The sequence below is a fragment of the Homo sapiens genome, chromosome 2 (genome assembly GCF_000001405.40).
Source record: "Homo sapiens chromosome 2, GRCh38.p14 Primary Assembly".
Lineage (NCBI taxonomy): Eukaryota > Metazoa > Chordata > Mammalia > Primates > Hominidae > Homo > Homo sapiens.
In genome coordinates, this window is record NC_000002.12 from 238874725 (window position 1) to 238887651 (window position 12927).

General features: G+C 47.0%; 1 protein-coding gene across 2 annotated transcripts in view; it reads left to right on the forward strand.

Annotated features, from left to right (window-relative positions):
- TWIST2 (twist family bHLH transcription factor 2) overlaps window positions 1-12927 on the forward strand; it is a 62450-nt gene that overhangs the window by 26640 nt on the left and 22883 nt on the right. The window contains exon 2 of one of the 2 annotated variants that reach the window (NM_057179.3): window positions 12055-12533. The exons of the other annotated variant lie outside the window; for it this stretch is intronic. The gene's annotated coding sequence lies outside the window, so the exon portion shown is untranslated. Of the gene's footprint in view, window positions 1-12054; window positions 12534-12927 lie in introns of those variants that run through there. 2 annotated transcript variants of the gene reach the window in all.

Genomic DNA, 12927 nt, shown 5'->3' on the forward strand with positions numbered 1-12927 from the left:
CCTTGGATGCTTACCCAGGATTCAGGTAGAAGAGTTGCCTGCCCTGGGCTCCCCACAGCACTTGGGTGTGCACCTGTGATTCAGGTAGGAGAGGGGCCTGGGCTCCCCAGGGTACTTGATTTGTCCTTCAGGTGCAAGTGAGTTCTCGGGTGAGGTTCTATGTTTTGGTGCCTCCCTCTCTGCCACACGGCCCCTTCTTTGTGGAACATGTGTCCTCTTCCAGGCTCTGTTGATGACTTCATATAGAGTGCACAAAGGAACAAAAACAATGAAGTTGACCAAGGAGGAAGCTGGCTGGAGGGTTTGGAAGGACAGCAGAGCAGGCACAGCTGGAAGGATTTATTTTTCTCTTGCTACCAGAAGACTCAGGACACAATGCAGAAAATACGAAATACATTCATTCATTAGCTTTCCCATCTCTTAAATGGTTTGACCCAACTGGGCAAGCCCTGGCTGAAGAGATTGGACATCTGGAGTCCATCACTGTCTGAGGCCATGGTGGACCCAGCTCTTTTCTTTTCTCTGGGGTGAGATATAGTGGACACTCAGCCCTTTAAGGAGCCCTGACCACAGATGAGACAGAAGGTGCAGCTGTGGGTCTTCTCCAAGAAGAAGACGGCCTCTTCCAAGACTCCTCCAACAGCACCACCCACTGGGTCAGACTTGTCACTGAGCTTCCAGCAGCTTTCTCTCTAGCGGAAAATGGATTCAACCAAAAGATCAAAGATGAGGAAATTTAGAAGTCCATGTGATGCTGGCCAAGCATCCCAGTAAAGGGTATATCCTCTGTGGCTTTGTTTTTCACGTTACTGGCATTGGTTTGCTTTGTTGGGAAGCTATGCAGAGTTGCACATCACCTTGTAACAGAGGTTGGCTTCCAGTGGGCTGGACGTTTACAAACAGATGGGAGCCAAGAAAGTGCCGTGAACTTCAGCTCCCTGACCGGGGTCACGGGAATGCCATAAATCAGGCCAGACAAATTCCCATGATGTCAGTCACTCAGCCGAGTTTCTGGGGGTCATGAGTCTCTTCGCATTTCTCCCCTGTCCCCAAGTTCCAAAAAAACAAATAAATAGATGGAAAGGTTACCTCACAGATCCTTGGCAAAGACCCCTGGAATAGCACAGCTCTGTCCCGAGTGAAAGTTTACTTCAGAAGATTCTGATGCAATAGAGAAAAAATAAATCGGGTGAGGGAGCCTGTGGCTTGTGGGGCTCTGCTATCCAGCAGGGCTGGAGCAGGTGCCAGGGTGCAGGGAGGGTGGGGGACCCCGAGGCCCTGGCCAGGGTTCACATCGTCATCCCACTAGCTGTGGACGTGGGGGACCCTGGCAGAAAGGAAATCTGTCTCAGTGAGCTGTGCTTGTCAGAAATCCTCCCAGTGCACCGGTCACTGCCCCGTTGGGTGGGTGTGGGTGGAGGGCGGATGGCCACACAGCCGCTTGGGAAGTTCAGGAACGGCTGAACCTCACTAGAGTGAAATCAAGTCAGGCACCCAGGCAGCCTCTGCAGAGGGCACTAGGGGACTCTCAGCAGCTCAGAACTGTCCTTACTCCTAAGGAGTTTGAAATTAGGAAGAATAAAACTTAGGGGAAAAAATGACTACAAAGTGTCTCCTGAACTGGCCCTACAAGAGACTGCAGGCTCCAAGTGCTCCCTGTCTGGGTAAACACCTTCTGCTTTCTAGGACTGTCCACTCAGTTATTAAGCCCACTGCTGTGTCAGGCCGAAGGTGCAGTGATGGCAGAGACAAAGTCCCGCCTTCGGGGACAGTCCCCAACACAGCAGCAGCTAGATTAGAAAAAATAAAGATGAGAAAGCCTCTCAGAGCATCTGTCATGGTATCTACCAAAACCTGTCAGGGATAGGAGAAACTCTCTCTCAGTAGGAGCTTAGATTAAATTCTAGATAAAATATAAGAAACGTACACTCAGCAATATGCCAAAAGAATAGGGCGCTGTGAAGAAGGTGGATTTATTAGTGGAATATCAGGGCATTCAGATGCCTTTGCCAGGTTTTTGACACACTTTGGCAATATGTGTCAAAAGCATTCAGATTGCTCAGATTCTTGGATTCATGTATGCAATGAGGCACATCTATAGTCAAAAAAGGGAATAAAGGGAATCGACTCGAGATACTAAAATGCATCTGAGAAAAATTTAACATATTTCTGTTATTAAAACCTCCCTGTCTGATGTTTAAAATCTCAATAAGCTATCATAAAGAGATTCTTCCTTACCTTCAGCGGATCACCTGAGGTCAGGAGTTTGAGACTAGCCTGGCCAACATGCTGAGACCCCCGTCTCTACTAAAAATACAAAAAATTAGCTGGGCGTGGTGGCGCTTACCTGTGGTCCCAGCTACTCAGGAGGCTGACGCAGGAGAATTGCTTGAGCCCAGGAGGTGGAGGTTGCAGTGAGCTGAGATCGTGCCACTGCGCTCCAGCCTGGGAGACAGAGCAAGATTCCATCTCAAAACAGCAACAACAAAATCCTAGGTAGCACTCAAGTCTTTTGTATAAAAGTCAGCAGGTTTCTCGCCAGTATACTGTTTTGTAACATTGTCTCAAACTTTAAAGAATGATTCTATATGGATTATGAAAAAGAAATAGACATAGGGCTATTGGCAAGCAGAAGATAAAAGTATTAACATTTGTAGATGATACAGTTGTCTACTAAGAACCTTGCTGTCTACCCCATATCAAAAAAAGAAATCATTTGAAAATCTTTAGAACAAATGAAACAATTTAGACTGAAGGCAATTGCTAAGTGAAGATAATTTTTCACAAGCATTCTTACACACACCAGCAATAAGCAATTCAATCACATAATGAAACAAAAAGATGTCATTCACACAAACAAAAATATTTATGCTTATGAGATCCTTATATATGTTTAGTGAGAAATATGGAGGACTTTTATGAAGAAAAATCTCTTAGCTAGAGAGTCCAATAGAATATTTTTTGAATGAGGAGCTCTATTTATTAGGACTCTGTTTGGAAATACATACTACTGTGAACATATCATTTCTTTTACAATTTAATTTATATATTTAATGAAATGTTTAATTCAATAAAATTATTTTCAGGTGCACCTGGAAGACTAAGAGAGCAAACACGTCCAAGAAACTTATGAAAAAGAAAAGTGAGGAGAGAGGTTTTGTGCTGCCAGGGACTGTAATCCAGAACTTTAATATTCAAATTACTGGGTGCACTGGGGGCCAGGCAGAAAACGCAATGAAATGGAACTGTGGAGAGCTCAGGAACAACCCTGATGTTTGTCCTATTCAGGTACAGGGTAAAGGAGACAATGGCCATGAAGACGGTGGATTATGCGGAGCATAATTCCAAAAAGGAATGACCTGGAGGCTGGTTTTGTGCAGGTCTACCCAAGAACAGCCCAGGATGTCGTTAAAGGCTGATGTTCTCTGTTAGTTGGTAAACAGCTCTCATGGTGCCCTCTCCCCCACTGTACCCCTCCCTGTCCACGCACCAGCAATTCAATAGTTAACCCCTGGATCCCTGTGCCACCAGTGGGGGCCCAGGACATCAGCCACCCCAAAGCTCACTTATCTGGGTCTGGCTTGCAGGCAGCCCACTCTTGCCTTTTACAGTTATTGTTACACTTTACTTTTTCCTACAATTTTCTAATCTAGAGTGAAATGGCCACCAGAGAGTATAAACGCCAGAGTGTGATGAGAAAAAGAGGATGTCGGCTCCTCATCCTAGTGCAGCATGGCCTCCAGAGCTTATTAAGGCCATGGGAATCTGCAGACCCATTCGGCATCCCAGGTCCTGGTGATTGTCAGAGGCCAGCCTGTGGGGACAAGGGTCACCTCTCGCCACTTGCTGTAGGGCTCTGGCATGGTGTAGGTAGCAGCCCCTGTTGATCTTTTTCTGCAGTGAAGTTGTGCTCCTCATGTTAACCTGGAGTTTATTCCTCCAGGAGGTAACGCAGAACACAAACCTTTCTCTGAGAACAATAGCAATGCACAGATTTAATTCTGAAACACAGGCGCTAATAACTGTCTGTGACCATGGGGACAAATTGAGTGGAGAGGAGAGGAGGCTGTCCCAGCAGTGGGGGGTCCGTGCTTTCAGCTGGAAACTCAGTGTGTTCTCTCTTTATAGTCCTCCACCTTCAGGAGCTGACTTTCCTCTAATGTTTCTTTAAATGTTAATGTTGGAGCCTGCAGTAAGAACTCAGATAATTAAACATACCAATGAGGGCATGTAATTGTGCAGAAGGGCTCAAACACCCAAGGATGAAAAGTGAGACCATAGTTTAAAAAAATTCTAATTGTATAATACCATGTCGCATGTATGCTTTATACAGAGAAGAATCCAGCGAGCACAAAAGGCAAGCTGACTGAGGTTGTCTCGGCCGTCCTGGGCGGACACACAGCCTTCCTGGCTCTGTCCCCTCTGAGACTGTGAGCCCCTCCTGGTGGGGCTCTGACCTTGCCTTACCTAGACCCATGTGTCTTAGAGAGGCTTGGAGTCAGTACCTTCTTGATGAGACCAATAATCAGGGCTCTGCTGGGCTGAGTGGGGGTGGGGGTAGAACATCAGAAGTGGATGACCTCTTGAAAAGGTGACAGTCCCTCCCTGTCAGCCCACGACTGTTCTGGTTTCCTCTGGTTCTCCAGTCGTGATTATTAATAGTGCCCCTTTCACTCCCAAAGCTTCTCATTCTACATGTTGGGTCATGTGGTCATCCTGTCCAGCAAATGCACACCTCCCTCCAGCCGGGACTACCTGGCCACTAGGCCACACTCACCACTCCTTAGGGTCACTTGTGGAGTTTCCTAAAATGCCCCTTCCTTGCTCTGCCCCACTACCCATCCCCTATTCTGACATGCCCAGCTAGGAAGGCATGCGCTGCAAATCACTTGCCCAGAAACCAGGGATCTAGTGTCAAGTTAGTGGTTAGCAGGATCCCCTGGCCATCCTGCACCAGCTGGGTCAAGCACCAGCTGTTGAGTTGTGGACATGGACAGCCCTGCCAGACCTTGCCCCACACAGGCAGTACCTGTGGGAAGTTCCCTGGACCTGCAGAAGGGCATGATTGGCTGTCCTGGTGTGGTGTGGTCAGGGAGGGCTTCCTAGAGGAGGCAGCACTGACCAGCACTCAGAGGTGCAGAGAGCATTCTGCACAGAGGGAGAGGCAGAGATAGTTTATGTGGAGGATCTGCTAAGACTGCCAGCTGGGGCATGGTTCAAAACCCAGGAGGAATGAATTCCCTATGGAGAGTGCTTGCCCTGCAGGCAGAGAGGGACCTTCACGGGGCTCTGGGCTGCCAACATTGTAGGGCGTTATTTAGTGTGAGTGTTAGTGTTAGTATTAGTGTTGGTGTTAGTTTTGATATTAGTGTTAGTATTTATTTATACTCGTGCTAGCGTTAGTATTAGTGTGTTAGTGTTAGTGTTAGTATTTATTGGTATTGGTGTTAGTGTTAGTATTTATTGGTATTGGTGTTACTGTTAGTATTAGTATTAGTGTTAGTATTTATTAGTATTAGTGTTAGTATTTATTGGTATTAGTGTTAGTACTAGTATTTATTAGTGTTAGTGTTATTGTTAGTGTTAGTGTTGGTATTTATTATTATTAGTGTTAGTGTCAGTATTAGTGTTAGTATTTATTTGTGTTAGCATTAGTATTAATGTTAGTGTTAGTATTTATTAGTGTTAGTGTTGGTAATATTTATTAGCATTAGTGTTAGTGTTAGTATTTATTAGTATTAGTTACTATTTATTAGTGTCAGTGTTAGTGTTAGTGTCAGCATTAGTATTAGTGTGTTAGTATTGGTATTAGTGTTAGTGTTAGTATTTATTAGTATTAGTATTACTGTTAGTATTAGTATTAGTGTTATGTTAGTATTAGTGTTAGTATTTATTAGTATTAGTGTTACTGTTAGTCTTAGTGTTAGTGTCAGTATTAGTATTAGTGTTAGTGTCAGTATTAGTGTATTTATTAGTGTTAGCATTAGTATTAATGTTAGTATCTATTAGTATTAGTGTTAGTGTTGGTGTTAATATTAGCATTAGTGTCAGTGTTAGTATTAGTGTTAGTGTTAGTATTTATTAGTATTAGTGTTAGTATTTATTGGTATTAGTGTTAGTACTAGTATTTATTAGTGTTAGTGTTATTGTTAGTGTTAGTGTTGGTATTTATTATTATTAGTGTTAGTGTCAGTATTAGTGTTAGTATTTATTTGTGTTAGCATTAGTATTAATGTTAGTGTTAGTATTTATTAGTGTTAGTGTTGGTAATATTTATTAGCATTAGTGTTAGTGTTAGTATTTATTAGTATTAGTTACTATTTATTAGTGTCAGTGTTAGTGTTAGTGTCAGCATTAGTATTAGTGTGTTAGTATTGGTATTAGTGTTAGTGTTAGTATTTATTAGTATTAGTATTACTGTTAGTATTAGTATTAGTGTTATGTTAGTATTAGTGTTAGTATTTATTAGTATTAGTGTTACTGTTAGTCTTAGTGTTAGTGTCAGTATTAGTATTAGTGTTAGTGTCAGTATTAGTGTATTTATTAGTGTTAGCATTAGTATTAATGTTAGTATCTATTAGTATTAGTGTTAGTGTTGGTGTTAATATTAGCATTAGTGTCAGTGTTAGTATTAGTGTTAGTGTTAGTATTTATTAGTATTAGTTACTATTTATTAGTGTCAGTGTCAGTGTTAGTGTTAGTATTAGTGTCGGTATTTATTAGTATTAGTGTTAGTGTGAGTATTAGTGTTAGTATCTATTAGTGTGTTAGTATTAATGTTGGTGTTAGTATTTGTTAGTATTAGTGTTGGTGTTAGTATTTATTAGTATTAGCGTTAGAATTTATTAGTATTAGTGTCAGTGTTAGTATTTATTAGCATTAGTTAGTATTTATTAGCATTAGTGTTAGTATTAGTGCCAGCATTAGTTCTGGCTGGGCTGGGCTGGTGTCCTGGGTCTGAGCTGTCTGCATCCCCATCTCGGCCCCTCTTGAGCGTCTCTCACATCTGCAGTCCTGCACAGCCCAAGTCCCAGCAGGAATGCTGCATCTATAAATCCCTACATAAGGAAATGTTATCCGGAGGAGCCACTTGGCCTTTAGATGGGAACACTGGACATGACGAGGGCTTGAGGGAGGAGAAGGTGCCACCTGCTGTGTGCCTGGGTTTTCCATCCATGAGAGCCCGTGGGCATCACAGCCACTCTGTGAAGGGACTGCCTGGTTTTTCTCTTCCTGTCTCTCTCTCCATCTGTCTCTCTTCCTCTGTCTGACTGTGTCTCTCTGTGTGTCTGTCTCTGTGTCCCTGTCTGTCTGCCTGACTCTGTTTCTGTCTCTCTCTCTCTGTCTGTGTCTCTGTGTCTCTCTTATGGTCTTATTTAGGGGCACATGGCAAGTCAGATTTAACCCTGGGCCTCTGGCTCCCAGGTCCCTGTTCATACACCAAGCCCCACTTGCCTTCTTTTCCCTGGGGGGCTCTTTTCCCTCCTCTCCCAGCAGCAGCCCAGGTCTCCTGAGCCTGAGGGTCTGCTGTCTGCACAGTGCACTGTCCTGTGCTTCCCGAGAGCGTGGGAGTCCCTGGCCTCTTTCCAGCCCATCCAGTGCCTACCTGTGTTAACTGGACCCAAAACCTCTGAGACCATTCAATAGGGTGGTGGCTGGAAAACAGATCAGTACTTTTTTCCACTTTTAGACTGCAGCCTGGACAGAAATGCAAACGCCTTGTGTCCTGTGCTGTGCCAGGGTGCCCTGCCTTACAAAACAGACAGCTCTGGAGAAGCATGTGTAAATTTAATTTGGGGTAACATTGACTCATGTTAGGATCATTTGAGCCTCTTCACCTTGACTCCGATTGGCCTCCAAGGCAGCACCGACTCACACTCCAGCTTAGCTTGCCTTGGTGCCCTGCCTTCCAGACCAGGAGTTAATGATCTGTAAAAACACTTAAATTCATGGGGAAAACTCCTTCTTGAAAGGAGCAAATGCGTTTGTAACTTACATATTCCTTTTGTCCCATGATGAGGGAACTTCCTGGGAGCCTGTCTGCTTGGAGTCCTGGGAAGTGATATCTTGATTTTAAAAGTCCTCCATGATCAAAGCTTCTTTCAACAAAGTCAAAGGATGCTTTCTGGGTTGCTCTGCTGGAAGCTGGGGCAGTCAGAGCTGAGGGGCAGATGACCGTGGTCCAGGTGTGCCCCCTGGATGGATGTAGGTCAGGGAGGTGTGGTCCAGGGTGCAGATGTCTGAGCCCTTCCTGATTTGAGGGCAGCTCTTGACATCATTCCCTCCAGTTTGGGGGTGAGATGGACATGAATGTTTCTTCTGTGATTCCTTCTCCTCCAGGTTCTGTTTTTCTGTGAATTCTTCTAGAAACCCGAGCAGGGCCTTTGCGTTTCTGAACCTCCATTTTCTGCTTTTTTATTTACTTGGGTAGTGCTCGAAGTTCCTTGGAGGACAGCCGCGGTGTTTATGTGACTCTTGTTTTATTACCAGGATTGGGCTGGTGACGGTTCCTCCCCCCAGGCAGTCACCCCTCGTGGACTGTTTATCCTCGTGGAGACATGCAGGATCCACGAACACCGTGGGAGCCAGCCAGGGCCCCACAGGGCTGCAGATGGGCTCCGTTCACCACATTGCTCATTTTAAAAATTCTCTGCTGATTTAAAATCCACTCAGCTTGCTGCTGTAGCTGGTCGTCTCTGAGGAGCTGAGCTGGCTCGCTTGACATTAAACAGGAAAAATAAGGGAAGAAAAAAACAGAAAGTGAGGGGAGAAGGGACGGGAGATGCCAGAGCTGCAGAGCGAGGCGGAGATGGCCCAAGCCCAGCCTTATCACTCCCTATCCTTTAACTCCAATAGAAGGAGAAGGATGGGGATTTTGAAGACAGATCAGGGAAAACATTTAGCATTTGAGCAGAAGAATTTTCTAGAAGCCTGGCCAGGAAGGGGCTCCGAGCACACGGAGGGAGTTGAGTAAGAAGAATTCCCAGCTCCAAGGATCCTGAGAGGACCCTGGGGAAGACCATGTTGATTCCATGCCTTGCGGAGAGGGAGGCGGTTTTCAGGAATGAAAAGCTGACAGGGTTATGTTGTTGCTGGTTTCCCAGCTGTAAGATGCACATAACTGTGGCTTTTCTCTCCTCCTGCATCTGCAAGGCTTCAGTAATTCATGGCCGATCAGAGTCGCTGGGTGAAGCCGGAGTCGTGAGCCGCGCTGTGGTTTCCGTCCTTCCTTCTCCTCTGCATTAAATGTGATTGGCCTTTCCCCTGGGGTTAATCTGAATTCCCCTAGGGTTAATCCAAATTCCCCTAGGGTTAATCCGAATTCTTCCAGCCTTCCTCCCTTCGGAAATCTGTCCTCAAAGTTCAGCCCCTCCACAGAAGGCACCCCGAGTGCCTACTCAGCTGAACATCTTCTGGGAAACAATGGGGCCGGCACTTACAAGCCAGTTCTTTAAGATGGGGTCGTTGGCTGCCAGTTGTGCCTGGGCTGAAGTGCCAGTGGGCTGCCAAGTCTGCCCCAGGGATCCCAAGGCTCCTGGGCCTGGGATTGCAAGACTCTGAGTCAGGGCTCTCCACCTTCACCTGGAGAAGTGAGGTCCCAGTGAGGCCAAGACCAGGCCAAGGTCCCCAGACAGCAAGTGGCACAGGTGAGGCCGGAGGGCCGCTTCCCATGCGAGTGGCTTCATGCCATGGGCATGTTCTGAATCTAGGGCTCTTCTCCGTGTAGGGCTTCTTCCCCTCCCCTGCCTGGCCATGCCATAGAAGTACAGGTTTAAGCCCCAGAACAAGATTCTAGGCATGGTCTGATTCACGGGCACGTTCAAGGGTGTGGTTGCCACCCGCAGGCCACCGGACTGGGCTGGCGAGGTGAGAACGGCACCTTCACACCTGCCAGGGGGCTGGGGCAGGCAGCAGAGGCGAGGCCCATGGAACATAGCTCTATCATGGAGAAGGGCTCAGATGAAGGGTCCGGCTGCTGCTGTCCCACGGTCCAGCAGACCTAGCCCCCAGTGCTGGCAAAATGTACCTCGCAGGCCTCCCGCAGGTCAGGAGCACAGGGAGCCTTCCGGAAGCATGGCCGGAAAGTGCCTGCTCCCTGGGGCCGGCTCACTGCTGCCAGAGGAAGATTCCAGGGCTGAGCTGCGCACACCCAGTTGACTCTTCCCAAACCCACCAGTCTGCAGGTCACTCCAGCTCCCCTGAGTGGTGTGGGTAAGGGGCAGAGCAGGCCAGGGGCATCAGTGGAGCGTCCCCCCATGGAAGAGAATGTCCACACGCTCGTGGAGACACGTTTCTCCTGAGAAGCCTGGAGCGGGTGGGGGTCAGCCCTGGTCCGTTAGGAGCTTCTGCACCTTCTCATGCCTCTCAGCCCTCAGTGCCCTCCCAGATTGTGCAGATGCAGGGAGGCTGCACCACTGTGAGCATGAGGTGCCCCCTCCCTCTCAGCGTCCCCATGGCCGGGTCTTCTGAGTGGAACCCTGATTCCCGCCCTGCCTCGTTTGCAGGCTGGAGGGCCTGGCTCCCCTGGATGGTGGTCAGTCTTCCCTCTCTCCTCCTTCAGTGCCACACAGTACCTGGCCAAAGCCGTCATGCTGCCCGACTCAGCTTGCTTTATTTAGTCCAGGCAAAGTGGTGGAAAATGAAAAAACTGGCCTTTTGTGGCTTTACAGTGCACATTTGACCAAGGGAAGAATCAGCCCAGAAATGTACACTGATGAGTCTGCTATTTCTTGCTAGCTATCTACTGTCCTTGACGTCTACTGCGTCAGCCATAGCACACAGAAGATGTCTGGTCCTAGACACTGCACCGTACCAGTGTCTTGTGGGTGTTTGGTGCCTGTGAGCAGAGCAGGAGAGATTCCAGGTGCCATTGAGAGTGATGGTACAAATTCACCATCAGGAGCCCCAAGAGTCCTGCAAGCCACATTATAAATGCTTTGGCTAGCCCTGGGGAGATGAAGGGAGTATGACTGGGAGGCTTATCAGGATCACATCTTAAAGAGAACCAATGGGTTTTATACATTTTAAAGTATATTTGTAATCTCAGTTTTAAAATCACATTACTGGTTAGGCGTGGTGGCTCACACCTGTAATCCTAGCACTTTGAGATGTTTGGGGCCTGGAGCTCACCAGCTCCAGTCTGCACCCCCAGAGAAGGCCCAGAGGCTGTACTGAGGCCTAGACAACATGGTGAAAACCTATCTCTACTAAAAATACAAAAATTATCTGGGCATGGTGGCAGACGCCTGTAATCCCAGCTACTCAGGAGACTAAGGCAGGAGAATCTCTTGACCCTGGGAGGCGGAGGTTGCAGTGAGCCGAGATTGCGCCATTGCACTCCAGCCTGGGTGACAGAGTGAGACTCCATCTCAAAAAAAAAAAAAAAAAATCACATTACTGATGATTTTCTCACTAAGATATAAAATGCACCGTGAACTTTGTTCCACAAACAACAGAACAGCTCCCACGATGACTGCCTGACCCTCTACTGGGCTCTGAGTCCCAGGCTGCAGGGAAAGGACATTATCTTCTGAAGCACCAAAAACCCCAGGGCAGAGCTCTTCTTAGTGTTAATTATGTTTTCTACTCAGTTCAGATACCCACAACTGAGGGTAGACTGTTTGGGGAAAAAGTGGTTTCTTTCTGCATCCTTTTGTTTTGCTAAAAGTTTCATTTATGAAACTTCTCTGGTCCCTCGTACACAGTATGAGGGAGAATTCGAATTTCCTCTCAGAAGATGCCGTAAGGGTTGTTAGTGCCTTAAAGATGAGCCCATGTGTACGTGGTATTCCCTCCCCCAACGCAAGCTCACCTCACCCCAAATCTAAGGAAGTACACTTCTGGGCTATTGTCTGGAGCCCCGGGGGCATGGGAGGTTTGAGGCTCCAGTGCTTATCTCGGTGAGTGATTCTGGGAGCCACCTACCGGTTGAGTGGAGCGAAGGGTGGAGACAGAGGGCAGGTGGGGGTGCAACGTTGGAAGGGCCATGTGTTTGGGCAGTGGGGGCTCTGTTCTCACCACAGATTTCCAGTAACAAGAGACTCTTCCCACCAGAGGAGATTCTGAATGATGCTGCCATTGCCAGACCTTCTGCTACCAAACAGAGCGAAGAGGAAGAGGGGGCAGTGTTTGGTCAAGACAGCCCACGAAACGTTGGCGGGAGTGAGCACATTAGCAATGGCTAAGAACATGCTTGAATCATTTGTAACAACCCAGGACAGAGATGCCACAAGAGGACTTTGGGGAAAGGCGAATCCACTCATACATCTTGGAGTTGTTTTTTCAAGTTCAGAAAATGAACCTTCACCAAGGTCTTGGAACATGAAGCAGAGACTCTGGTGCTGACTCTATCATTTGAGCTCCTAAGGGTACTCATGCCCAGTGGAGCATGCACACCAGCAACACTGCCAACACCATCTCGGTGTCCCACCCCTTAGAGGAGGAAGAGGACACAGAGGGGCGCCCGGTAATAACCCTCATTTCCTCTCTTCCACCCCACCACATCATCTTAATAAAACATGAAGGTAACTGAATGAGTACGACTCCCTCATTATCAATTTAATCCTGTGTCTCTGTTGATGTAGGTCAGTTAAGCTTTTTCATGGGCTCATTCAGTATCTCGCTCTCTCTGTCTCTTTCCCCATGAGACTTACACTCTTCCGGCCAGATTCTGGTGCCCTGGGCATGTTTAGGAATCAAATCCTGGCATTTGGCTGAAATTAATGCAATTAAATTATCAGTTTCTCAAATGCCATCTACAAATTACTTTTTTGTTTGTTTTAGACAATCCTTTGTTTTAAAACCCTTGCTTTGGCACTGGAGGCAGACTTGGTGGTCCTCTGGAAAGTCGACTCTCTCCCTTCACACTCCTCAGAGCCCCTGTGGTTAGGCAGGGCCATAGGACTAGTTCCAGCCAATGAGATTTGG